This window comes from Homo sapiens, chromosome 5, assembly GCF_000001405.40.
Source record: "Homo sapiens chromosome 5, GRCh38.p14 Primary Assembly".
Taxonomy (NCBI): domain Eukaryota; kingdom Metazoa; phylum Chordata; class Mammalia; order Primates; family Hominidae; genus Homo; species Homo sapiens.
Genome location: NC_000005.10, coordinates 112,380,533 through 112,405,131, shown reverse-complemented (window position 1 = coordinate 112,405,131; position 24,599 = coordinate 112,380,533). Strand labels below are relative to the sequence as shown.

Below are 24,599 nucleotides of genomic sequence, written 5' to 3'. Positions count from 1 at the left end.
TCAAGATGGAAGCCACAGTCTTTTATAACATCCTGTCATTTCTGCTGTAGTTTTTTGGTCACACCACTCGTGTGAGAGAGGACTAAACAAGGGTATGAAAACAAGGGCTCCCTTGAAGCCATCTGGAAGACAGACTGCATAGTCCTCAGATGAGTTTTTGGATTTTAGATTTGGAGAAGAGATTTGGCCTCCTGAAAGTTGAAAGTGAGGCCTTGTGAGGATGGACTGTGTCTCTGAAGGCCATGCAGCATGGAGAGGTAGCATGAACATAGAGAAGGGAGTTTTGTGGAGGAAGACGGGGGATCTGGGGAATGCTTGAACTAGCAGTCCCTCCTGTGCACCAGGCCCTGCACTTGATGCAGGGCGTGAAGAGGTGAATTAGATTGCTTCTAACCATCCGGAACTTAAATCTAGAGTTATGCTTTGAGAAATAATCAGCTTGATGAAAATACTTTTCATTGAGTGTCTACAATAAGAAAGAAAAAGTCTATGTAGTGGAAGAAGGAGAGAATATAGACTCCGAATATCTGGATTCTGCTTCCAGCTCCTTCATTTCCTAGCTTGGAGAAGTCACTTAATGTTTTGCAGTCATAGTTTATCCATTTATAAAATTAAACTGATGCTAATATTATCCCATTAATATGACAAGTATTGGGAGGCTTAAGGGAGATAATGGTTGAAAAAACTTACAAAATGTTAAGGTGCCATAGATTTTTAAAAATCATTATCTTGTGGCTCCATCATTTACTCACTGTTGGCAAGTTAACTCTGTGCCTGAGTTTTGTCATCAGTGAAATGAGAATAACACTATCTGCATCACAGATTGTTGGGAGAGTTGAATTAAATAGTACATGTAAGGGCTTAGAATAGTGCCTAGCACATGATAACATGGTAAATGCCAAATGTGTGTTAGCTGCCATTATTATATAGTCATATAATGCCATGCCTCATGAGAGATGATATAGTTAGATAGTGCTGTGCCTTATGGGAGGTGAAATCATGACAGAATGTCCTTAGACATAGGTTCTAAGCAATGAAGCAAGGGGCAGTTTTTCTTAGAAGGCTTCTTAATGTTTACATTTGCATTTGCCGATTAGAAAACTGATTTATTGCATGGAACAGAGCTTACTTTGAAAACAACAACCAGCTTTCTCTCTTTTTTTCTTCTTCCTCCTTTTTTGATGTCAACCTTCATGTACAGCTTTTCAAATTTTTGGAGGTCGTAGCTGAAAATAACTCCTTTGTATTTCCAGTAGAATAGTCAAAAATGAACTGGTCAGTTTGCCTGCCCAAGCATAAAGAGGTACATTTAATTTACTTAGCCTTGTTCACTTGATGGAGATGTGTTTCAAAAATGAAGCTTAGGCCTCGCGCAGTACCTTACTCCTGTGATCCCAGCACTTTGGGAGGCCGAGGTGGGAGGATCATTTAAGCCCAGGAGTTTGAGACCAGGTTGGACAACACGGTGAGACCCCCGTCTCTACAAAATAAAAGTAATTAGCCAGCATGGTGGTGTGAGCCTGTAGTCCTAGCTACTCTGTAGGCTGAGGTGGGAGCATCACTTGAATCCAGGAGTTAGAGGTTGCAGTAAGCTCCACTGCACTCCAGGCTGGGTGACAGAGTGAGACCCTGTCTCTAAAGAAAGAAAGGCAAGCTTAGATTTGACATGTGATTAGTAAATTATATGTCAAAAAGGAGACTTACAGTTCTTCTGTTAATTTCAGTGATGAAGACATTAAGTTAATTATGATTTAGCCTTTGTAAGACTCTGACTTGCCTTTTTTTTTTTTTTTTGCTGAGGATTATGAGGACCTTGATAAATCATTATTTCCTAAAAATCTTTGTTCAACGAACCAAGAAGAGCTTGATCCTAGACTGCCTTTCATCCATTACATGCATTGGGAAAGCAGGTTTTGACAGTGTCATAGAAACAGACACAGATTCCCAGAGAACAGCTATAAAGGAAACCAGCCTCCAGGTTGACAGTGGATCAATCCCCTTATGGCACAGATTTTCTTTGTGAATGGGGGTGAAAAAACTAGAGGCTCCTCATATGTTTTTGGGTTAAAAATCTTTGTTTTTTTTTTCCAACTTAAAAATGCTGAGGGTTTTGTGTGTGTGTGTGTGAGCTAGAGGGAGAAAAATAAGTGACATGACATTTAAATACCATATTAATATTTGGGTCAGTTGTGTTTAAGAGTAAACATACGACTAACCGCTTTCTAGGAAGGCTTAATCTTCCTTTTAAATATTGTTCTCAAAAGATGAGCAATATTTATGTATTGAAACAACATTTTCTTGAAGTATGAAAATTGAGGTACTGAAAACAGGTATGTATTCAAGAAGATGTGCCTTGCTTTACCAAAAAAATGTGCTTTTGAAAAGTTTTGCTGTGAACTGATTCATGTTTTGAAATGCTTCCCATCTGGTGTCATAGAAAAGTTGAAAAGGAGGCAAGGATTTTTTTTCTCCCCAGGGGAGGGGTGGTGATTTTATGTGATAAATGTCTGTAGTGCCGAGTCTTCCACGTACTTTTCCCCACGCTTTTTCTTTTTTTTGTTTTAAGGTCCATGCTAATCTCTGTATATTCCAATTTTAGTATATGTGCCGCTGAAGCAAGCACTCCCGTGCTTTTTTACTTGCTGCAGTAACTGGTGAGTTGACCAAAGTCATGTTGTTAGCAAAGGCTGCTGTGGTTTTCAGCACAAAGTGAAAGACAGGCATTCCTCTGTTTTGGTTTTACCAGTTGTATTAGTCTGTTCTTGCATTGCTGACTGGATTAAAAAAAAAAAAAGGTTTAATTGGCTCATAGTTCTGCAGGCTGTACAGGAAGCATGGCTAGGGGGCCTCAGGAAACTTACAATCGTGGTGGAAGGTGAGGGGGAAGCAGACACATTCTACATGGCTAGACCAGGAGGAAAAGGAGGAGGTGCTACACACTTTTAAACAACCAGTGAGAACTCACTCACTATCATGAGAACAGCAAGGGAGAAATTTGCCGCCAAGATCCAATTACCTCCCACCAGGCCCCTCCTCCAACACTGGGGATTACAGTTCAAGGTGAGATTTGGGCGGGGACGCAAATCCAAACCACATCACTGGTGTATGTTTTTACCTTCATCTGCAAGTGGCTAATTTATTGCTTTCCACCTAACGTGTTGGGGTTACAGAGTGACAACAAAATGCACCATTTCCCCCTGTGTTTAATACATTTTGCTGCTCTAAGTGGAATTCATGGCTTATTAGACATGCCAAGTTGCTAGTTTTCTAATCATACGCAACCAAAAATGATCAGTAAAAATTGCTTAGGCTGACTAGTGTATCTTGAGGTTTTACTGCATGCACCTGTCATTGGCTCTCTTTTTGTCTAATCTCGTCTCCATGGAAGAGTCATTGACACTAGTTGGGTCAATTCAGCTGCATTTCTTGGGTTACATTGTGTTCGATTTCTGTTGTAGGAGGAAAAAGGGTGAGAGTCAATAAAGATACAATTACTTGGAAATAGCTATAATTTTTTATAATACTTACCAGTAGATTTTATACTTCTTCTTAAATTAAGACATTTGGGTGGAGAATAAAGCATATGCAATCCATATACATATTTACATATTTGCTGTCACATGATTCTGGTATTTTTGGTGTATCAGTTCACATGGGTAACATTTTTAAAAATTCTTTAAAATTAATGAGAGAACATTGAGAATTAGTTTCCTCTTATGTAGGAACTTTTAGTTCTTCACTGAGTGAAGGATGAAGAAAGAATTCCTCAGATCCTGGGTAGTGAATACGTTAAATGCATGTTTGATGCAAGTGTTTGATGATTAGGATAAATGGCCAAGCTTTTTTCTAGCTCTGAAGGTCTGCTGGATGTGGCTAGTTTTCAAGCCTGGAGGTAGTGTCTGTGGCTTACCTAGTCTGGAGTCACAATCAACTTTTTATTACTCAGGTTCTGCAGGTTACTGTGACTTTTTCATTTCCTCTCATAGATAGGGGACAGATAGGGGCCAGGAAAATCAGTGAAATTTCCTATTTTCAACAATGTGGATGCTTGTTTGGTAGGGAAAGAAGAGTGAAGCTGTTTGTTCTTTCTTGGACTCATGAGTATTTTGATTTTTTAATGACTCATTTTTTGGAACTTCTTATTTTCATCATTAGGGCTACTTCATAGAGTAAGACCATATATAGTTAAAAGTTATCCAGAAGGAATAGGGAGCCAGTCAGTTCCATGGAAGTTTTAACAGTACTTGCACTCAAGATATTTTGTGTCTCCATGTGATGTCTAACACCCAGTGGTGTTCAGTAAATGTTAATACCTTTGCCTTCTTGACACTAGTCAGGCTGTTGTGGGGGATACAAAATGAACATACATTAAATTAGAACAACAAAATTGATAGAGTTTGGATGTTTGTCCTTACACAAATCTCATGTTGAATTGTACTCCCCAACACTGGAGGTGGGGTCTGGTGGGAGGTGTTTGGGTCATGGGGTTGGATCCCTCATGGCTTGGTCCTGTCTTTGCATTAGTGAATGAGTTCTTGCAAGACCTGGTCATTTAAAAGTGTGTGGCACCTCCCTCTGACACTTTCTTTCTTGCTCCTGTTCCCACTGTGTGACCTGCCTGCTCCCCCTTTGCCTTCCACCATCAGTAAAAGCTCTCTGAGGCCTCCCCAGAAGCCAAGCAGATGCTGTGCCGTGCTTGTACTGCCTGTAGAACTGTAAGCTAATGCAACCTCTTTTCTTTATAAATGACCCAGTGATATGGTTTGGCTCTGTGTCCCTACGCAAATCTCACCTCGAATTGTAATCCCCACGTGTTTTGGGAGGGACCTGGTAGGAGGTGATTGAATCATGGGGGCGGTTTTCCGCATGCTGTTCTCGTGATAGTGAGTGAGTTCTCATGAGATCTGATTATTTAAAAGTGTTTGGTAGTTCTCTTCACCCCCCTCTCTCTTTCCTACCACCTTGTATAGAAGGTGCCTGCTTCTCCTTCACCTTCGGCCATGATCATAAGTTTCCTGAGGTCTCCCCAGCCATGTGCAACTGTGAGTTAATTAAACCTCTTTCTTTCATAAGTTACCCAGTCTCAAGTGCTTCTTTATAGCAGTGCGAAAATGGACTAATACACCCAGTCTCAGGTATTTCTTTATAGCAATGCAAGAACGGCCTAACACATAAATGTAATCTAGGGCTGGTAGTGTGATATTGAACCAGTGGGAGACATGATGGGCCCATGGAGAAGTGTCTTGAATTTGACTTTGAAGGATTAGTCAAAGGGGGTGAAGGGATGCCCACTGGAGCTCCTAGGTCAGTGGGCTGCTGGCTGAGCCCAGAGGCAAAGAGGAGTATCAGCTTGCATACAGTTGGTGTTACTAGGTAGGTGAAGGGCCTGAAGCCATTAAGGGGATTTAAGACGTGATGTGTGATAGGTCAAAGCAGAGAAGAACCCTGGTGGTATTTAAGGAAATTAAGCTGGCAGTTACCACCTGCAGGCTGGATTAGAGCTTTAGGGAGGGAATCTGGAGTCTGAGAAAGTGTTATGTGTGGTGATGAGAGCTAGAATTCAGCATGGAAGTGGAGTAGAGAAAAAAAGATAGTGAGGATGTTTTGGATAGTCATTCTTTAAACAGATATATTTCGAGAACCTTCCAGGTGCCAGGCAGTGGGCTGGGCCCTGGATGCAGCCATGAAGCCGGCTGACACACTGCCTCCCAGTATGGAGCTTACAACTTAGTGGGGAACCTGGATGGTGATTACACAGGTCTGGGAGGATATGGTTGTGGTGACATGAGAGTATACAACAGGGGAATCTGATTGAATGGGAGGGGAGCCTTCCTGAGAATGGGATGTTTGGGCTGAATGGGGGTGACAGGAGGCAGAAGTTCAAGGCAGAGGGAGCAACCTGAGCAAAGGTCCTGAGGCAGAAACAGAAAGAACCCAGTGTGGCTGGGGTATAAGGAGGAGAAAGGAAAGAGCTGGTGATATGTGATGATCATAGCAGGGGAGGGTGTATTGAGAGGAATATTGGTGGAAAGTGGGTGGTTTAGATGGTTTGATTTTGGCGAGGGTGATGGATTCACCGCTCCGCACGTTGGTCTCACAGTGTACATTTACTGGATGAATACCTCTTTTTAACATGGGGCTAACTTCTCATTTCTCTGGCTCTAATTAAGATGTTAATGTCATACTTTTTTTTTTTTTTTTCTAGGATAGACTCCCCTTAGCTTCTTCCAGAAAACATCCTGGCAGTGAAAGAAAGGTCTTTAAGGCCCTGGACGTGTCACCTTGAAGCCCATATACATTTCACTCAGAGCCTATGAACTCGAATAAGATTGGCAGTCTTATTTTGTTAATACTCACAGGGGCTAGCTGATCTGATACCTGAGTCTATAGCAAAGACAGGCTGGGAGGACCTCAGGTGAAAGAAAGAAAACCCACCTTCTAGGCTGGGCATGGTGGTTCAGAAGCCTGTAATCCCAGCACTTTGGGAGGCCGAGGCAGGAGGATCACTTGAGCTCAGGAGTTTGAGACCAGCCTGGGCAACAAGACAAAACACCGTCTCTACTAAAAATACAAAAAATTAGCGGGTGTGGTGGTGCATGCCTGTAGTCCCAGCTACTCGGAAGGCTGAGGCATGAGAATCACTTGAACCCGGGAGGCAGAGGTTGCAGTGAGATGAGATGGTGCCACTGCACTCCAGCCTGGACGACAGAGTGAGACTGTCTCAAAGACAAAGAAACAAACAAAAAAAACCCCACATTCTAAAGAAGCATTTATTATGGGGCTGTTTATTATGGAGGCTGATAGCGCTTCACTCTTACTAACTGCCAGGATAGAGATTTGGTAGGCCTAGAGAAAAGAAAGGAAAATCCTAAAAAAGAAAAAATTTCCCTTGTGTTTTCTGACATTGGAAAAAGATTTTTTTTTAATATATTGAATGATTATTGTTACACATTGAATGGGTTGGACTAAGTAATTTCTAAGACTACCTTCCATCTCGAAAGCTGTGTGATCCTCTTCCTGTCTACATGCTGTGCTTTCGCCAGCTTGTTTTATGCATCATTGTATGAACATGCTGTGTGCATTTCTTAGCTTAGTGGCTTAGCTTACAATTGTCTCCAGCCTGAGTACCATAGAAGGGAGATTTCTGGATCTAAATGCATGGAGATTTTTAAAGCTTTTGATATGTGGGGCCACATGTTTTCTAGGCAGGCTGCACTACAGAATAATGGTTAATGGTTAGCTTTTTGAGCTAGGAAAACTGCGGTCAAATCCTTGACCTGCCACTTACTAGCCGTGTGATTGAGGATTTACTTAGTCCCTGACTCTCTTCATTTCTTCATATAAAAAATGGGGAATAATAATCATATAGGGCTTTTATGAAGATTAACTGAGAATGTACTCTAATTGCTATTTTATTTTATAATCCTAGATTTCCATGAGTGTAGAATATTAGCATATAAAATATCCTGGTCAAATTGACAAAGAAAATGTAAAGTTTTATTTATATTTTTTGATTACTGTTGAGGTTGAGTATTTTTTCATGTGTATGGGTTATGTTCATTTTTTGTAAATTTTTTTTCAGAATTACTACTTTATTATAGTAGTGGTCTCTTCTCTAAATTCATATTCATATTGCATCTGCCACTCACTTTACATGCACTTGATATTCTGCACAGCATCAAACACAGCACTAAGAATGCACAGTTTGGTGCTTAGTAGATACTGTGTACATTTTTAAGACGTAATACATGTATAATATGAAGGCTATTTTGCTATGGTAAAAATCATTGTTTCTGTTCTTAGATCAAGTCTATGAATTCTTTATAAAATTAGTATTTTTACTTTTCAGAGAAACTCTCAAAGTTATTTCCTTGGGAATTCTTATGAAAAATCAGCTGGAGGTCATTATCTTAAGTGAACTAACTCAGAAACAGAAAACCAAATACTTCATTTTCTCACTTATAAGTGGGAGCTAAACAATGGGTACATATAGTCATAAAGATGGAAATAACAGACACTGGGGACTCCAAAAGAGGGAAGCGTAGAAAGGGGGTGAGGCCTGATAAATTACCTATTGGGTATAATGTTCAGTATTTGGATAATGGGCAGACTAGAAGCCCAGTTCCCATGGGTATGCAATATACCCATGAATCAAACATGCACATGTACCTACTGAATTTAAAATAAAATAATATTTTACAAAGAAAAGAAAAATCATATTACTTGCACCATGTTGGTCATTGCAGCTTAAAAGTATACCCATACATTTCTTGATACTTCTCCTTTCAGAAGGTAAAAGCTAATTCACCTGCCCTTGAGTATAGGCTGGACTCATTGCTTTGGAGACTAGATTATACAAGGCACGGTGGTGTCTCTGTCTGTCTCTGTCTGTCTGTTTCTCTCTCTCTCTCATCACCTTGCTAAGTGGAAAGCCAGCTGACCTGTGGTGAGGCCTGTGTGGTGAGGAACTGAGAGTTCTTGCCAATAGCCAGGTACCTGGACTACTTTGGAATTTGACCCTTCAATGGACTGCAGCCCTGGCTGATACTCTGACCATAACGTCGCAAGAGACCATGGGCCAGAACCACTCAGCTTGATGTAGATACTCCTGGAGTTCTGACTCTTGGATGCTGTGTGAGATAGATGTTTGTTGTTTTAAACCATTACGTTTTGGGGTAATTTGTTATACAGCAGTAGTGCCATGTAGTTGTCCTCCAGTGTCTGATAGATGTGTGAATTCATTTAAAACTGAAGTAAAAACTCAATATGACATAGTCTAAAACTGAGTATGTATCTGGAAGAAACTGCATATTGAAGCAATATGGATAAAGCCTTTGTATAAAAGTGAAATGGTTTTCTTTTTCTTTTTTTTAATTTTTTTTAATTATACTTTAAGTTCTTGGGTACATGTGCACAACGTGCAGGTTTGTTACATATGTATACATGTGCCATGTTGGTTTGCCGCACCCATTAACTCGTCATTTACATTAGGTATCTCTCCTAATGCTATCCCTCCCCCTTCCCCCAACCCCACGACAGGCCCCAGTGGGTGATGTTCCCTGCCCTGTGTCCAAGTGTTCTCATTGTTCAGTTCCCACCTATGAGTGAGAACATGTGGTGTTTGGTTTTCTGTCCTTGTGACATTTTGCTCAGAATGATGGTTTCCAGCTTCATTTATGTCCCTACAAAGGACATGAACTCATCATCCTTTTTTATGGCTGCATAGTATTGCATGGTGTATAATGTGCCACATTTTCTTAATCCAGTCTATCATTGATGGACATTTGGGTTGGTTCCAAGTCTTTGCTATTGTGAATAGTGCCACAATAAACATAAGTGTGCATAAGTCTTCATAGTAGCATGATTTATAATCTTTGGGTATATACCCAGTAATGGGATCACTGGGTCAAATGGTATTTCTAGTTCTAGATTCCTTGAGGAATTGCCACAGTCTTCCACAATGGTTGAACTAGTTTACATTCCCCACCAACAGTGTAAAAGTGTTCCTATTTCTCCACATCCTCTCCAGCACCTGTTGTTTCCTGACTTTTTAATGATCGCCATTCTAACTGGCATGAGATGGTATCTCATTGTGGTTTTGATTTGCATTTCTCCGATGACCAGTGATGATGAGCATTTTTTCATGTGTCTGTTGGCTGCATAAATGTCTTCTTTTGAGAAGCGTCTGTTCATATCCTTCGCCCACTTGTTGATGGGGTTGTTTGTTTTTTCTTCTAAATTTGTTTTAAGTTCTTTGTAGATTCTGGATATTAGTCCTTTGTCAGATGAGTAGATTGCAAAAATTTTCTCCCATTCTGTAGGTTGCCTGTTCACTCTGATGGTAGTTTCTTTTGCTGTGCAGAAGCTCTTTAGTTTCATTAGATCCCATTTGTCAATTTTGGCTTTTGTTGCCATTGCTTTTGGTGTTTTAGACATGAAATCCTTGCCCATGCCTATGTCCTGAATGGTATTGCCTAGGTTTTCTTCTAGGGTTCGTATGGTTTTAGGGCTAACATTTAAGTCTTTAACCCATCTTGAATTAATTTTTGTATAAGGTGTAAGGAAGGGATCCAGTTTCAACTTTCTACATATGGCTAGCCAGTTTTCCCAGCACCATTTATTAAATAGGGAATCCTTTCCCCATTTCTTGTTTTTGTCAGGTTTGTCAAAGATCAGATGGTTGTCGATGTGTGGTGTTATTTCTGAGGGCTCTGTTCTGTTCCATTGGTCTATATCTCTGTTTTGGTACCAGCACCATGCTGTTTTGGTTACTGTAGCCTTGTAGTATAGTTTGAAGTCAGGTAGCTAGCATGATGCCTCCAGCTTTGTTCTTTTGGCTTAGGATTGTCTTGGCAATGTGGGCTCTTTTTTGGTTCCATATGAACTTTAAAGTAGTTTTTTCCAATTCTGTGAAGAAAGTCATTGGTAGCTTGATGGGGATGGCATTGAATCTACAAATTACCTTGGACAGTATGGCCATTTTCACAATATTGATTCTTCCTATCCATGAGCATGGAATGTTCTTCCATTTGTTTGTGTCCTCTTTTATTTCATTGAGCAGTGGTTTGTAGTTCTCCTTGAAGAGGTCCTTCACATCCCTTGCAAGTTGGATTCCTAGGTATTTTATTCTCTTTGAAGCAATTGTGAATGGGAGTGCACTCATGATTTGGCTCTCTGTTTGTTTGTTATTGGTGTATAGGAATGGTTTTGATTTTTGCACATTGATTTTGTATCCTGAGACTTTGCTGAAGTTGCTTGTCAGCTTGAGGAGATTTTGGGCCGAGATTATGGTGTTTTCTAAATATACAATCATGTCATCTGCAAACTGGCACAATTTGACTTCCTCTTTTCCTGATTGAATACCTTTTATTTCTCTCTCCTGCCTGATTGCACTGGCCAGAACTTTCAACACTATGTTGAATAGGAGTGGTGAGAGAGGGCATCCCTGTCTTGTGGCAGTTTTCAAAGGGAATGCTTCCAGTTTTTGCCCATTCAGTATGATATTGGCTGTGGGTTTGTCATAAATAGCTCTTATTATTTTGAGTTACATCCTATCAATACCTAGTTTATTGAGAGTTTTTGGCATGAAGGGCTGTTGAATTTTGTCAAAGGCCTTTTCTGCATCTGTTGAGATAATCATGTGATTTTTGTCTTTGGTTTTGTTTATGTGATGGATTACATTTATTGATTTGCGTATGTTGAACCAGCCTTGCATCCAGGAATGAAGCCAACTTGATCTTGGTGGATAAGCCTTTTGATGTGCTGCTGGATTCAGTTTGCCAGTATTTCATTGAGGATTTTTGCATCGATGTTCATCAGGGATATTGGTCTAAAATTCTCTTTTTTTGTTGTGTCTCTGCCAGGCTTTGGTATCAGGATGATGCTGGCCTCATAAAATGAGTTAGGGAGGAATCCCTCTTTTTCTATTGATTGGAATAGTTTCAGAAGGAATGGTACCAGCTCCTCCTTGTACCTCTGGTAAAATTCACCTGTGAATCCGTTTGGTTCTGGACTCTTTTGGTTGATAGGTTATTAATTATTGCTTCAATTTCAGAGCCTGTTATTGGTCTATTCAGGGATTCAACTTCTTCCTGGTTTCATCTTGGGAAGGTGTATGTGTCCAGGGATTTATTCATTTCTTCTAGATTTTCTAGTTTATTTGCGTAGAGGTGTCTATAGTATTCTTTGATGGTAGTTTGTATTTCTATGGGATCGGTGGTGGTATCCCCTTTATCATTTTTTATCGCGTCTGTTTGATTCTTCTCTCTTTTCTTCTTTATTAGTCTTGCTAGCGGTCTATCAATTTTGTTGATCTTTTCAAAAAACCAGCTCCTGGATTCATTAATTTTTTGATGGTTTTTTTGTGTCTCTATCTCCTTCAGTTCTGCTCTGATCTTAGTTATTTCTTGCTTTCTGCTAGCTTTTGAATGTGTTTGCTCTTGCTTCTCTAGTTCTTTTAATTGTGATGTTAGGGTGTCGATTTTAGATCTTTCCTGCTTTCTCTTGTGGGCATTTAGTGCTATAACATTGCCTCTACACACTGCTTTAAATGTGTCCCAGAGATTGTGGTACGTTGTGTCTTTGTTCTCATTGGTTTCAAGGAACATCTTTATTTCTGCCTTCATTTTGTTATTTACCCAGTAGTGATTCAGGAGCAGGTTGTTCAGTTTCCATGTAGTTGAGCAGTTTTGAGTGAGTTTCTTAGTCCTGAATACTAATTTGATTGCACTGCTGTCTGAGAGACAGTTTGTTGTGATTTCTGTACTTTTACATTTGCTGAGGAGTGCTTTACTTCCAATTATGTCGTCAATTTTGGAATAAGTGTGATGTGGTGCTGAGAAGAAACTATATTCTGTTGATTTGGGGTGGAGAGTTCTGTAGATGTCTATTAGGTCCACTTGGTGCAGAGGTGAGTTCAATTCTTGGATATCCTTTTTAACCTTCTGTCTCATTGATCTGTCTAATATTGACAGTGGGGTGTTAAAGTCTCCCATTATTATTGTGTGAGAGTCTAAGTCTCTTTATAGGTCTCTAAGGACTTGCTTTATGAATCTGGGTGCTCCTGTATTGAGTGCATATATATTTAGGATAGTTAGCTCTTCTTGTTGAATTGATCCCTTTACCATTATGTAATGGCCTTCTGTGTTTCTTTTGATCTTTGTTGGTTTAAAGTCTGTTTTATTAGAGACTAGGATTGCAACCCCTGCTTTTTTTTTTTTTTTTTTTTTTTGCTTTCCATTTGCTTGGTAGATCTTCCTCCATCCCTTTATTTTGAGCCTATGTGTGTCTCTGCATGTGAGATGTGTCTCCTGAATACAGCACACTGATGGGTCTTGACTCTTTATCCAATTTGCCTGTCTGTGTCTTTTAATTGGGGCATTTTGCTCATTTACATTTAAGGTTAATATTGTTATGTGTGAATTTGATTCTGTCATTATGATGTTAGCTGGTTAGTTTTCCCATTAGTCGATGCAGTTTCTTCCTAGCATCAGTGGTCTTTACAGTTTGGCATGTTTTTGCAGTGGCTGGTACCAGTTGTTCCTTTCCATGTTTAGTGCTTCCTTCAGGAGCTCTTGTAAGCCAGGACTGGTGCTGACAAAATCTCTCAGCATTTGCTTGTCTGTAAACGATTTATTTCTCTATCACTTATGAAGTTTAGTTTGGCTGTATATGAAATTCTGGGTTGAAAATTCTTTTCTTTAAGAATGTTGAATACTGGCCCCCACTCTCTTCTCGCTTGTGGAGTTTCTGCCGAGAGATCTGCTGTTAGTCTGATGGGCCTTTGTGGGTAACCCGACCTTTCTCTCTGACTGCCCTTAACATTTTTTCCTTCATTTCAACCTTGGTGAATCTGACAATTATGTGTCTTGGGGTTGCTCTTCTTGAGGAGTATCTATGGTGTTCTCTGTATTTCCTGAATTTGAATGTTGACCTGCCTTGCTAGGTTGGGAAAGTTCTCCTGGATAATATCCTGAAGAGTGTTTTCCCCCTTGGTTCCATTCTCCCCATCGCTTTCAGGTATACCAATCAGACGTAGATTTGGTCTTTTCACATAGTCCCATATTTCTTGGAGGCTTTGTTCGTTTCTTTTTACTCTTTTTTCTCTACACTTCTGTTCTTGTTTCATTTCATTAATTTGATCTTCCATCATTGATACCCTTTCTTCCACTTGATCGAATTGGCTACTGAAGCTTGTACATGCGTCATGTAGTTCTTGTGCCATGGCCTTTTCAGCTCCATCAGGTCATTTAAGGTCTTCTCTGCACTATTTATTCTTGTTAGCCATTCATCTCATCTTTTTTCAAAGTTTTTAGCTTCCTTGCGATGGGTTTGCAAGGAACTTCTCCTTTAGCTTGGAGAAGTTTGTTATTACCAGCCTTCTGAAGCCTACTTCTGTCAACTCATCAAAGTCATTCTCTGTCCAGCTTAGTTCTGTTGCTGGCGAGGAGCTGCAGTCCTTTGGAGGAGAAGAGGCGCTCTAGTTTTTAGAATTTTCAGCTTTTTTACTCTGGTTTCTCCCCATCTTTGTGGTTTTATCTACCTTTGGTCTTTGATGATGGTGACCTACAGCTGGGGCTTTGGTGTGGATGTCCTTTTTGTTGATGTTGATGCTATTCCTTTCTGTTTGTTACTTTTCCTTCTAACAGTCAGGTCCCTCAGCTGCAGGTCTGTTGGAGTTTGCTGGAGGTCCACTACAGACCCTGTTTGCCTGGGTATCACCAGCAGAGGCTGCAGAACAGCAAATATTGCAGAACAGCAAATATTGCTGCTTGATCTTTCCTCTGGAAGCTTTGTCTCAGAGGGGCACCCAGCTGTATGAGGTGTCAGTTGGCCCCTACTGGGAGGTGTCTCCCAGTTAGGCTACATGGGGGTCAGGGATCCACTTGAGGAGGCAGTCTGTCCGTTCTCAGAGCTCAAACACTGTGCTGGGAGAACCACTGCTCTCTTCAGAGCTGTCAGACAGGTATGTTTAAATCTGCAGAAGTTACTGCTGCCTTTTGTTCAGCTATGCCGTGCCCCCAGAGGTGGAGTCTACAGAGTCACGCTGGCCTCGTTGAGCTGCAGTGAGCTCCACCCAGTTTGAGTTTCTGGGCCGCTTTATTTACCTACTCAAGCTTTAGCAGTGGCAGATGCCACTCCCCCACCCAGGCTGTCAGCTCACAGCTCGATCTCGGACTGCTGTGCTGGCAGTGAGCAAGGCTCCGTGGGTGTGAGACCCACTGAGCCAGGTGCGGGATGTAATCTCCTGGTGTTCTGTTTGCTAAGACTGTTGGAAAAGCACAGTATTTGGGTGGCAGTGTCCTCATTTTCCAGGTACAGTCTGTCACGGCTTCCCTTGGCTAGGAAAGGGAAATCCCCTGACCCCTTGTGCTTCCCAGGTGAGGCGATGCCCCGCCCTGCTTTGGCTCACCCTCTGTGGGCTGCACCCACTGTCCAACCAGTCCCAAATAGATGAACCAGGTACCTCAGTTGGAAATGCAGAAGTCACCCGTCTTCTGTGTCGATCACGCTGGGAGCTGCAGACCAGAGCTCTTCCTATTCAGCCATCTTACTTCTTTTTCCTAAAGTGTGAAATGGTTTTCTAACATTTTTCATATTGTGTAGGCATTGAGACATGCAGAATTTATTTACTAGAGCTTAGTTTTTGGAAGTTTGGCATTGGTAGAACCGCCTTTATACCTTCATGCCATCCCTCCTTATTGTGTGAAACTGCCCTGGTTGTGTAGCCTCCGAGTTTCCTTCAGGCTCCTCTTTTGTAAAGAGGTGGTGGTAACATCTCCTAATTCTAGCATTGTTGTGAGGATCAAGTGAGATAACGTATATTACATTGTCAAAAGATGAAATTATAACAAATTTAGTTTAAAGGTCTCAATTAGCTTTATTTGCAATTCTGGAATTGGGCAACCCTTCCATAAGTAGAGTAAGTGTTCCAATGAGTGGGGCAGAGGAAGTTGCCTTTATAGACGGGAAAAAAAGCTAAAGAAGGCAGAAACAACAAAAATGTTGATCATTTCAAAGTTACTTTCCTTGTAAAGTGGGACAGAGAGATAGTATAATAGAAAAAATAACTGGTTAACATCAGGTTACTTTGGGTTAAGGATTAAAACAGAGGAACTTCGTTATTATGCCAGTGTAAGATTGAAACTGGCCTATTTGAGAAATTGGCCGTTTTCTGTCTCTCCTGATTTCTGAAAAGGTCAGATAACAACTCTGTTTTGTTTGGTGACCTGGAACTTTAGCATGGATGAGTCTGTTTTGATTTTTCAGTCTGGTCTGTTGGGGCCTAGTGTAGGAGCTTAGTCCAAAACAGTGGCCTCCTATGATTTTTATTTAACAATATTAAATGCTTATTAGTACAGTGTCAGGATTATAAAATCCTTAATACATTAAAAAATATTTAAAATGCCAATACAGATCTAATACAGGGGAGTAAAAATTTTGAATGAAATAATTTTCTTGTGTTTGAAAATATTAGAGATTTGCTTTTTAAATGATCATGTGTTTGTTTTTTCTCCTGTTGTTGTTCTCCGAATCTTCTGCTAAGCCATAGAATTTTTTTTTTCCACGTCCAACAATTCCTCTCCTGGGATCAGAAATTACTTTAGCATAAGTTCACAGCTCATTAAATTAATTTAAGAACCAACTGCTTTAGAGGCCTGTAAACCAATAATTTACTCTTAAGTGTGTATTTACCTCTGGGAGCTCATAGCAGGGGGCTAAAGGGGAGAGTTAATGGGCTTGGAAACTCCCTTGTTAGTGTGGAGGCTGTCTCCTGCCTGGCTGGCTCAGAGACCAGTTATCCAACCAAGTTTCCATTTTGAAAAGGAAAGACAGTTTGTTCTGCAAACCAAATAATGATAGAGGTAGAGTGCGGGGAGAAAAAAGAGCCCCTGAGCTATCCCTGCATGTAATAGTTGAGCAGGTGGATGGGAAGCCTGGACCAGATCTTTGAGATAGCTGTCCACTGCAAAGTTGGGGCACAGAGCAGTGTCTTGTGTCAAGGCAGCCTTCGCATTTGAGGTTTTTCATACACAGGCTGTCTATCCATAATCCTGACTCTCCCATTCTCTCTCGGTCTCTTCAATTCAGTGGTTCTGACCCCTGAATGCACATTACAGTCACCTGTGGGAGCTATGAAAGTGACCAACTATAAATTCTAATTGAAGGTGATCTGGGTGGGGTCTGAGTTTGGATAAAGTTAAAAACCTCCATTAGCTGAGTCAGATACATAGAGGAGCCTGAGAGCCAAGTGACCTGGGCCAGGTGGGTAGGTCTGCCGATCTGTTTCCAGATTCCTTCTCTCTTGCCTCACCGCACTTCCTTTAAAGCTCTGTATATTTAAGGCTGACTCTGGCTGGCATCAGCTTTGCATTGCACTTTTAAACTGTGACCTTAACTGCTTGCCCTTTTAAATGATGGGAAGGGAGGAGATAAGCGTATTTTTGTGAAAAATTGCTGGCTGTAACCAGATACTGTAAGGGTAAATTGTTAGTTTGCCGCCTTGTTGGGTTTTGAATTAATTTAATGATCTGTGAATTTCTGCTGAAACAACTTGAATTTCTAAGTCTTCTCTGTGCCATGGCCCCTAGAGAGGAACTTTTGGGGTTTGGTGCCTTAAAATTTCTGTCAGTCCTCCTACAGTGATAGAAAATTGAGATACTTTACTTCCTTTTTCTTTTATTGTTATTAAAAACTTGGTGGGTAACTTTTACATTTCTTTTTAAGTGAGGAAGATAGAAAGTGTATGTTATGACTTCTGCATAAATGTAAGGCTTTTTTCTCTTTAATATGATTGTATACTAGTGCCTTAGCATTTTAATAAAATGGACAATTAACAAACCTGTTTTATATACAATCTCTTTTACAGATAATGTATATTTGAAAATGTAGAAACTTCCCAACTCTGCACTTTGGAGGTCTTGTGATAGCTGTAAATATTACTTTGCAGCTCAAAGGAAAATTTGGAAATTATTTAATACAGTTACTTTAAATTATTGCTGCCTGATATGAAAATCTTTCTGTCTCCCAGGCTGGAGTGCAGTGGCATGATTTCGGCTCACTGCAAGCTCCGCCTCCCAGGTTGACGCCATTCTCCTGCCTCAGCCTCCCAAGTAGCTGGGACTACAGGCCCCTGCCACCATGCCTGGCTAATTTTTTTTTGTATTTTTAGTAGAGACAGGGTTTTACTGTGTTAGCCGGGATGGTGTCGATCTCCTGACCCTGTGATCTGCCCGCCTCGGCCTCCCAAAGTGCTGGGATTTCAGGCGTGAGCCACCGTGCCCAACCCATTCCATGCAGTTCTTCAGTGGCAGTTCTTTACCTTATAGATACTTAAATTGATGGGAAGCTGGAATGGTGGTTTGCACAGGGTCCGGGAGGGCAGCTCTATTGGACGTGGTCTCTCAGACATGAGGAGTTCGTGCATCTGCCTTACATCCTGGCTGAAGCTGGATCTGGCCACGATGGAACTGGCGCTGTCACCAGTAGCCCTCTGGGAATTGTTTTGAGCAGAATTCTTAGGCTCCATCTGACTGGAGAGGCCGGGGAGTGTGCAGGCCCCCAGATTCAGAGAGCTTCACTTTGAAGCAATAGAGGCCTTAAATCAGTATCCAAAGGTGGCAGCACTTGCTGACAAAGCTGAAGGCAGCAACTCAGCTAAAGCAGGGACCCACAGATAGGAACACTGTCAGTGGTGAGGTCGGTGGGAGTGGGGATGGATAGCAGAAGGGAAAGGATCGACCATCACCATCTGGTCTGTTTTCCTCTTCACTGGATAGCTTTTGCCTTTATTGCTGGAGAATCACTTTCTATTCCCGTTGTGCCTTTCCATCTATTCAGTCTTCCAGTGTCATGTATATAGTATCTTTCTTTACTCTAATATCCAGTCAAAATGACTGAATCTGTAACCTAAATTTTGAGCTGTGTCCTGTATTTATTATCCTAAATATGGGATTAAAAAGAAAGTTGATACAATCGATTCATTTAAAACTTTCTTCTATAGTCTGTCCTGAAGTTAGTGCTCATTCCAATATCTTACATCTTTTGCAGATCAGAGCCTGACGGTTACATCCAATAATATTTTGAATTAAAACAAACTGAAATATTCTGTTACCCAGAAAACCTCATTCCCCGAGCATCCTTTTTAATAAGTATTGGGCCATGTAGAGGAAATTAGAATTATTTTTTTCTTTCTTAAAATAATTACTATAAATATGAAACCTTTTAAAATATATGGAAATCAACATTATTAATTTTTAAGCCAATGAAAATTTATTAATGAAGGTTTGATGTCCCATTGGAAATGATTTAGCATTAGACAGGAGTAATTTGCTGTAAGGGTATTTTATGTAAGGTTTGAGCCATTTTGTAGGCTGGGTTTACAAGGTTAGCACTTCAGAGGCTGATTATTTCTTCACTGTACATTTCCAGGATTCAGCATATGATGCCCCTCAGTGGGTGATAATGCCTTCGTTATGTCTCAGTACAAACAGCTGTGCTTATTAAAGATGTGACTAACAGGCTGAAAGGATGCAGTGCATCACTTCATTCCATTATGCCTTTAAAAAGATAGAATGCTAGGGCTTAATTTTTAAAGTAGTTAGAAATAAGAGTAGTTGAATGGACTAATTAAACCATATTAAAAATTTAATTATTTGGCTAACAATGAGCTCACAACTATTTCTGAAACAGTAAACCTTAGAGGAAGAAAGGAGTAATGTCCTAGTTTCAAGTAATTCAGTGCATGTTGCCCACATTATTTCCAGAAACATCCTACCGATTTGAACACCCACTAGGAGCTTGTGAGACTGAAACCTTATTATCTCTAGTGCTATGTATTTGAATATTTGAGAGGTACAAATACGCATGTAAAAAAATATATTGGGGAGGTTGGATATGACCAATTTTCGGTTTCCATTTGAGTTTTGTGTCCTTTGGTCTATTGGAGTCTCTCTTAACATGTTCCAGATTTGAGGCTATCTCTTCTGACTTGAACTACAATTCTTCTAATTTCAATAAGGAGATAATTTTAGTGGATTACAAGACAGACTGGTTAAAGGATTTTTTAATTGATTGTGCTTTTGGCTTTAGGTAATGGGATTTACTTTTTTTTTTTTTTTTTTTTGAAAATAACCAGTATGAAGGCTGGCAGTTCAGAGGCTTAACAACGTAGGACTCTGGATTGGCTTTTCTGTGATTTTCTTGGCCTTTTTAAAAATGGTTGCCTAGTGTTGATTAAAAACTTGTTACCAGCTCTGGGATTCTGCCCTCTCTGTAATGGTTTTCCATACTATGCCCATACTTTTTTATGCCTTTTATTGGACTTTTTCCAAACTTCCCAAGTTGAATCTATGTGTTTCTTTCCGGGTCCCCAATTGATACAGCTATGCATCTTTTTATCAGAGGGGAGCATTTTTCCTGGAAGCACCACTTCCCCGTTGGACTTGCTTTCCCTCTGGTCCTTTTGGTCAGGATCGGGGTCACATTGTCAGGCTGTAGGCTGAGGAGGGAGTACTTAGCAGGCTCTGGTGGCAGGAGGCTTCTGCTGGCAAGGGCTTCGCCTGCTCCTTAAAAAAGATAAAGCTGAAACCATATCCAAGGGTCACCCGGGCTACTTCCAGTGTCTTCCTGAAGTGGGGCCATGGGCCTCTGAGCCTGAATTGCTTGTGCAGTGATCAGGACTGGCAACCCTAGCAAATGGATGGGGCTGCTCAGCTCTCTTTGCATTATCTTTCCCAGCAGATATTGAGGCCTAGGAAAAAAATTATGTCTCTAAAACAGAGGCAAAATTCCATTGTGATTCCATTATTTCTTTTCTTTTCTTTTAACTTCCTTCCTTTTTTTCTTCTCCTTCCTTCCTTCCTTCCGTTTCTCTTTCCTTGTTTCTCTTTCTCTTTTTGTTTCTCTTTCCCTCCCTCCCTCTCCCTTCCTTCCTTCCTTCCTTTCTTCCTCAAAAGAAGCTTCAAGCATGATTTTGACAGGTACTCATCTTCTTTAGTTTGAATATGCCCATGTCTAAACTATCTTCCCGGGTAGTACATACCTTCTGCTCCCATCTGTTTCCATGAGAAGGAAAAATATGTGTTTGGCTGCGGCAGAAAGTTCTCAGGCTCTGAGTGGAGATTTTACTGATGATTGGTTGCAACAGAGTCATCTTTGCATTAAAAAAAAAATAGTGAAGTTAGCCTTTGGTCTGCCTTGTTAATTGCGAATGTTATATACTTTTTGCCTTTGGACTCAGGTTAAAGTAGTTCTAATTTTAATGTAGTTAAATCTATGATTTTTAATGGATTCTTAATGTTTTTAAGTTAAAATCCCTTCCTTTTCAGAATAGTCATCTATATTATCATCTTTTGTTGACAGTTTTATCGAGATGGAGTTCACATATCAGTCTACCCACTGAAGGTGTACAGTTTAGTGTTTTTTGGTATATTCATGGAGTTGAGCAGCCATCACCACAGTCAATTTATAACTTGTTTTATCACCTTGAAAAGAAACCTTGTATCCTTTAGCTATCACCCCCATCCTCCCCACCAGCGACTCCTAACCTACTTCCTGTCTCTCTAGATTTGCATTTTCTGGGCACTTCATATAAATGGAATCATATAATATGTTGTCTTTTGTGATTGAGCTCTTTTACTTAGCGTAATATTTTCAGAGTTTTTAATATAATAGGTATCAGTACTTCATTTTTATGGCTAACTTTATTTTTTTACACTTAACTTTTAACCTATCTAGAATTTATCTTGAGATATACAAATGGAAATTGTTTATTTATTGACAGATAACTTTTTGTCCCAATATAGTTTGTTGACTGTTTTTTCATTTACCATTTGTTTGTTTAAATTTTAAGGTCTTATATATTGGATTTATTTCAGCTTTTCCCCCACCCCCATTTTATTGATTTGTCTGTTAGTGTACCAAAAGTTGTCTGAATACAATTAATTTATAAAAGCTTTTATTCTTTGATTTGGCCAGCACCCATCCTGATCACTTGTTTGTATTGCTCTTTAATTTATTAGTAGTTCCCTTGTGTCCTTTTTCTTTAAATTAAGACTTAATTTTTGCCATTATAAAAATTGCCAATGGGATTTCAATCTGATTGTGTTAAACCTGTCATTTCATTTTGAAAGAACTCCAGATTTAGCTTTTGCATCCAACAACATGCTCTGCCTCTCCATTTGTTCAAATTTTTCTTTCAGTACAGTTTTACGGTCTTTTGTCATTGAAATCTTATATCTTTTTAAGGTTATCCTGCAATGTCACATTTTTTGGTTACGTTTTAAATGCTATTTTTATTTCATTCTTTTAAAACAGTTTATTGCTAGTTTATAAGAAAGCTAAAGAAAACAGTTTATCTTGTATTTCTCTATTTTGCTAAACTTCATTATTGGCTCCACTTAATCTTTAGTTGACTCCTTTGAGATTTCTTGACTATTCCAAGTTCCCCAGCCTTTGGGAGCCATTGTTTCTTTAAATGCCTAAGTTACATTAAATGGAATACACGTCCTGTATGACTGGAGAGTATTCATCTAACCCTTCACATGCACTTCTGAGGATCCTCTGGGGAGAGCCTTGACTTGTCTTGATTGGCATTTATTACCTCTTGCCTTGGTCTTTCCTTTCTAGCTTCTCAAAGGGTCATTGCTGGCTTCTTACAACTTGTTTGCTCCGAAGCATTTTTCCTTTTCCACACAGTTCCAATTCAAGTCTGGGCTACATGTAACCAGATTTATTTCTCAGGTTTGAGGAAAACATAACAAATAATAGATGCAGTGATTGCCCAGTAAGAGGTTGGAGAGTAACTAGGAATGTGGAAAGAGTTAGAAGCCAGGAAGGAAAATTCCACAACTGGGTATCAGACACACCTGCTACCTATATACTGTATCTTTTAGCTGCTCCCTAATTCCCCTTCTGCAGTCCTGTTACTGGGACTGTTCCCCCAACCCTCCCACATCAAGTGACAGTGCTCTCTTCTGTCTCCTTGCTGAATCCTCCAAAGACCAAAACAATCAGAAGGTGTCATAATTATCCTGGAAGAGATATTCCTGCTATATTTTTACTGATGAAACAGTTAACACCACAGTTTGAATAGCTACGTTTGAATTTTTCTACTGGGTCAGAATTTCCCCAAGAGTAGCCAGGTGCTTGACTCACACATGCAGGATTTACCATTGGCCATTCCCAAGGATGGATGTGAGCCTCCACTCTGGGCTGCAGTCTTTGTCGTCATTGCAGGTATAGTCATATCATCTGTCAAATAACAGCAGGTTTGCTCCTAGTTTCTGACACTTGCTTCCTTTCTTTTCTAACCATTATTGGTTAGAACTTTTTTTTTTCTTGAGCCTGAACTTAGGTTAGAACTTTCGAATGATGTGAAGAAATGGTGGTGACTAATTGAAATATTGCTCTTTAAAATATGTTTAGATTGTGGTTAAAAAATAGATTAAAGGAAAGAGCTTTCTCTTCCTAATTTATCAAGAATTTTAAAAGCCAGAATGGATGTTAAGTTATATCACGTACCTTTTAAAAGTGCTAATTGAGTTTTTAAATAAAAATTTGACTAACTGATGTGCACTGCCGTATTATAAATTTCTTAAAATGAAAAAATACTTCCATTCCTGGAAGAAATCCTACTTTATTACATGCCATTGACTGTGATTTGCAGACATTTTTAGAATTAGAGTGGCTGCAGTAGATATTTGTCACCTGAAAGGGGGAGGTTACCCAGTCTTCTGATCCTCCTTCACTTTGGGAGGAGCCCCCTCCTCAGTGTGGAATTGGTGGGACATACTGTCATTTTCACATTATGGAAGGCTGTGGGACTTTGATTCTTACGAAGACAGGGGAGAGTTCAGAAAGTTTTCTCAACTGTGTCTGGTTGTGGGAGCCCAGTGGCCATGATGACGTGTGTCCTGCTGTTGGCAGTGTCAAGGCAGCATCCCAGCTTCAGGACTTGACCTTTGTCGTTGCTTCTGCAACTCAGCCTTGTTTGGATTTGGCTCACTTTGTGAGCTTGGTTTTCTAGATTTCCCATCCATTCTGTGAGATATTAATATGCTTCCAGAAAATTGTTTATTTGCTTATGTTTGCTAGACATGCTTTCTGTAGCTTGCAATCAAGAACCTGTTAGAATTGCACACTGGATGGAATATAAACAGATCTTGGTTCAAATCCTGCTGCTTTCAGTAACTGGCCTTGGGTGAGTCACTTAACCTTTCTAAGCCTCATTTATAAAACCTTAGAGAGTGGTAGAAAGGGTTAAAGATAACGTATGCCAAACATATAATCTCTCATACTAGGCAGTCAATGAATTATAAGCAATTATCATTATTATTTACAGAGTGATCTATCACAGGTTAATAATTCCTTACAATTCTGCAATCCAAAAGTTCTGATTTGAATTTTTTAATATCTCATTTGATTTAAAAACCTGACCAGACTTGAGTATATCTGAGGAAACTACCTGGCTCTGTTGTGAAGCAGTATTATAGTCTTGATCACATTTAGTGTAACTGTTCATGCATTTTTACGGCAGAATATCATAGCCGCCTCACGCTCTCTGATGGTATGTGAAATATATTGGATATCCCCAGAAGGTGCCTTTCTGAAATTAAAAATTTTTGAATTGGAACACATCTGGCCCCATGAGTTTTGGGTAAGGGATTTGTGAGGGATTGTTGACATATACTGGCCTGCAACCAGAAGGAATGTAAGAATGGTCTGGTGGGGGATGGTTTCTAAATATCAGTGGCTTCTGGGTGACTGAGATATGTGCTGCTCTCCTTTCCCCTTGGCTGAATTGTGTGTGTGTGTGTGTGTGTGTGTGTGTGTGTGTGTATGTGTGTGATGTGCAGAGGATGGGTTTCTCTTTTTGGTACTGAAGTTATAACAGCATCATATAATTGGGGACATTTCATTTTTTTCCCCTGTGCTTTGTAATATATAATCAGAGACTTAACTGTTCTTGAAAGCTTGGAAGAGTATACATTAAAAACTTAGTTTTTCTGTTTTTGAAGTTATTCTCTAGGGACTTGAAGAACTAAATCTTCCCCTGTAACTGGTAAATTCAAGTATTTTCCCACAAATTTATCTCTTGG

At 40.0% G+C, this 24,599-nt stretch overlaps 1 protein-coding gene across 15 annotated transcripts in view, besides 2 other annotated features; it reads left to right on the top strand.

Moving 5' to 3' along the window:
- The window catches only part of EPB41L4A (erythrocyte membrane protein band 4.1 like 4A), a 278,107-nt gene that overhangs the window by 14,804 nt on the left and 238,704 nt on the right, over positions 1–24,599 (top strand). The window lies entirely within an intron of this gene.
- Positions 17,309–17,808: an enhancer, noted in NCBI's record as "H3K4me1 hESC enhancer chr5:111723021-111723520 (GRCh37/hg19 assembly coordinates)". NCBI's record gives its function as "activates a minimal SCP1, AML or CMV promoter by ChIP-STARR-seq in naive H9 embryonic stem cells {active_cell/tissue: H9 hESC(naive)}" and the evidence as "EXISTENCE:reporter gene assay evidence [ECO:0000049][PMID:30033119]".
- Positions 17,809–18,310: an enhancer, noted in NCBI's record as "H3K4me1 hESC enhancer chr5:111722519-111723020 (GRCh37/hg19 assembly coordinates)". NCBI's record gives its function as "activates a minimal SCP1, AML or CMV promoter by ChIP-STARR-seq in naive H9 embryonic stem cells {active_cell/tissue: H9 hESC(naive)}" and the evidence as "EXISTENCE:reporter gene assay evidence [ECO:0000049][PMID:30033119]".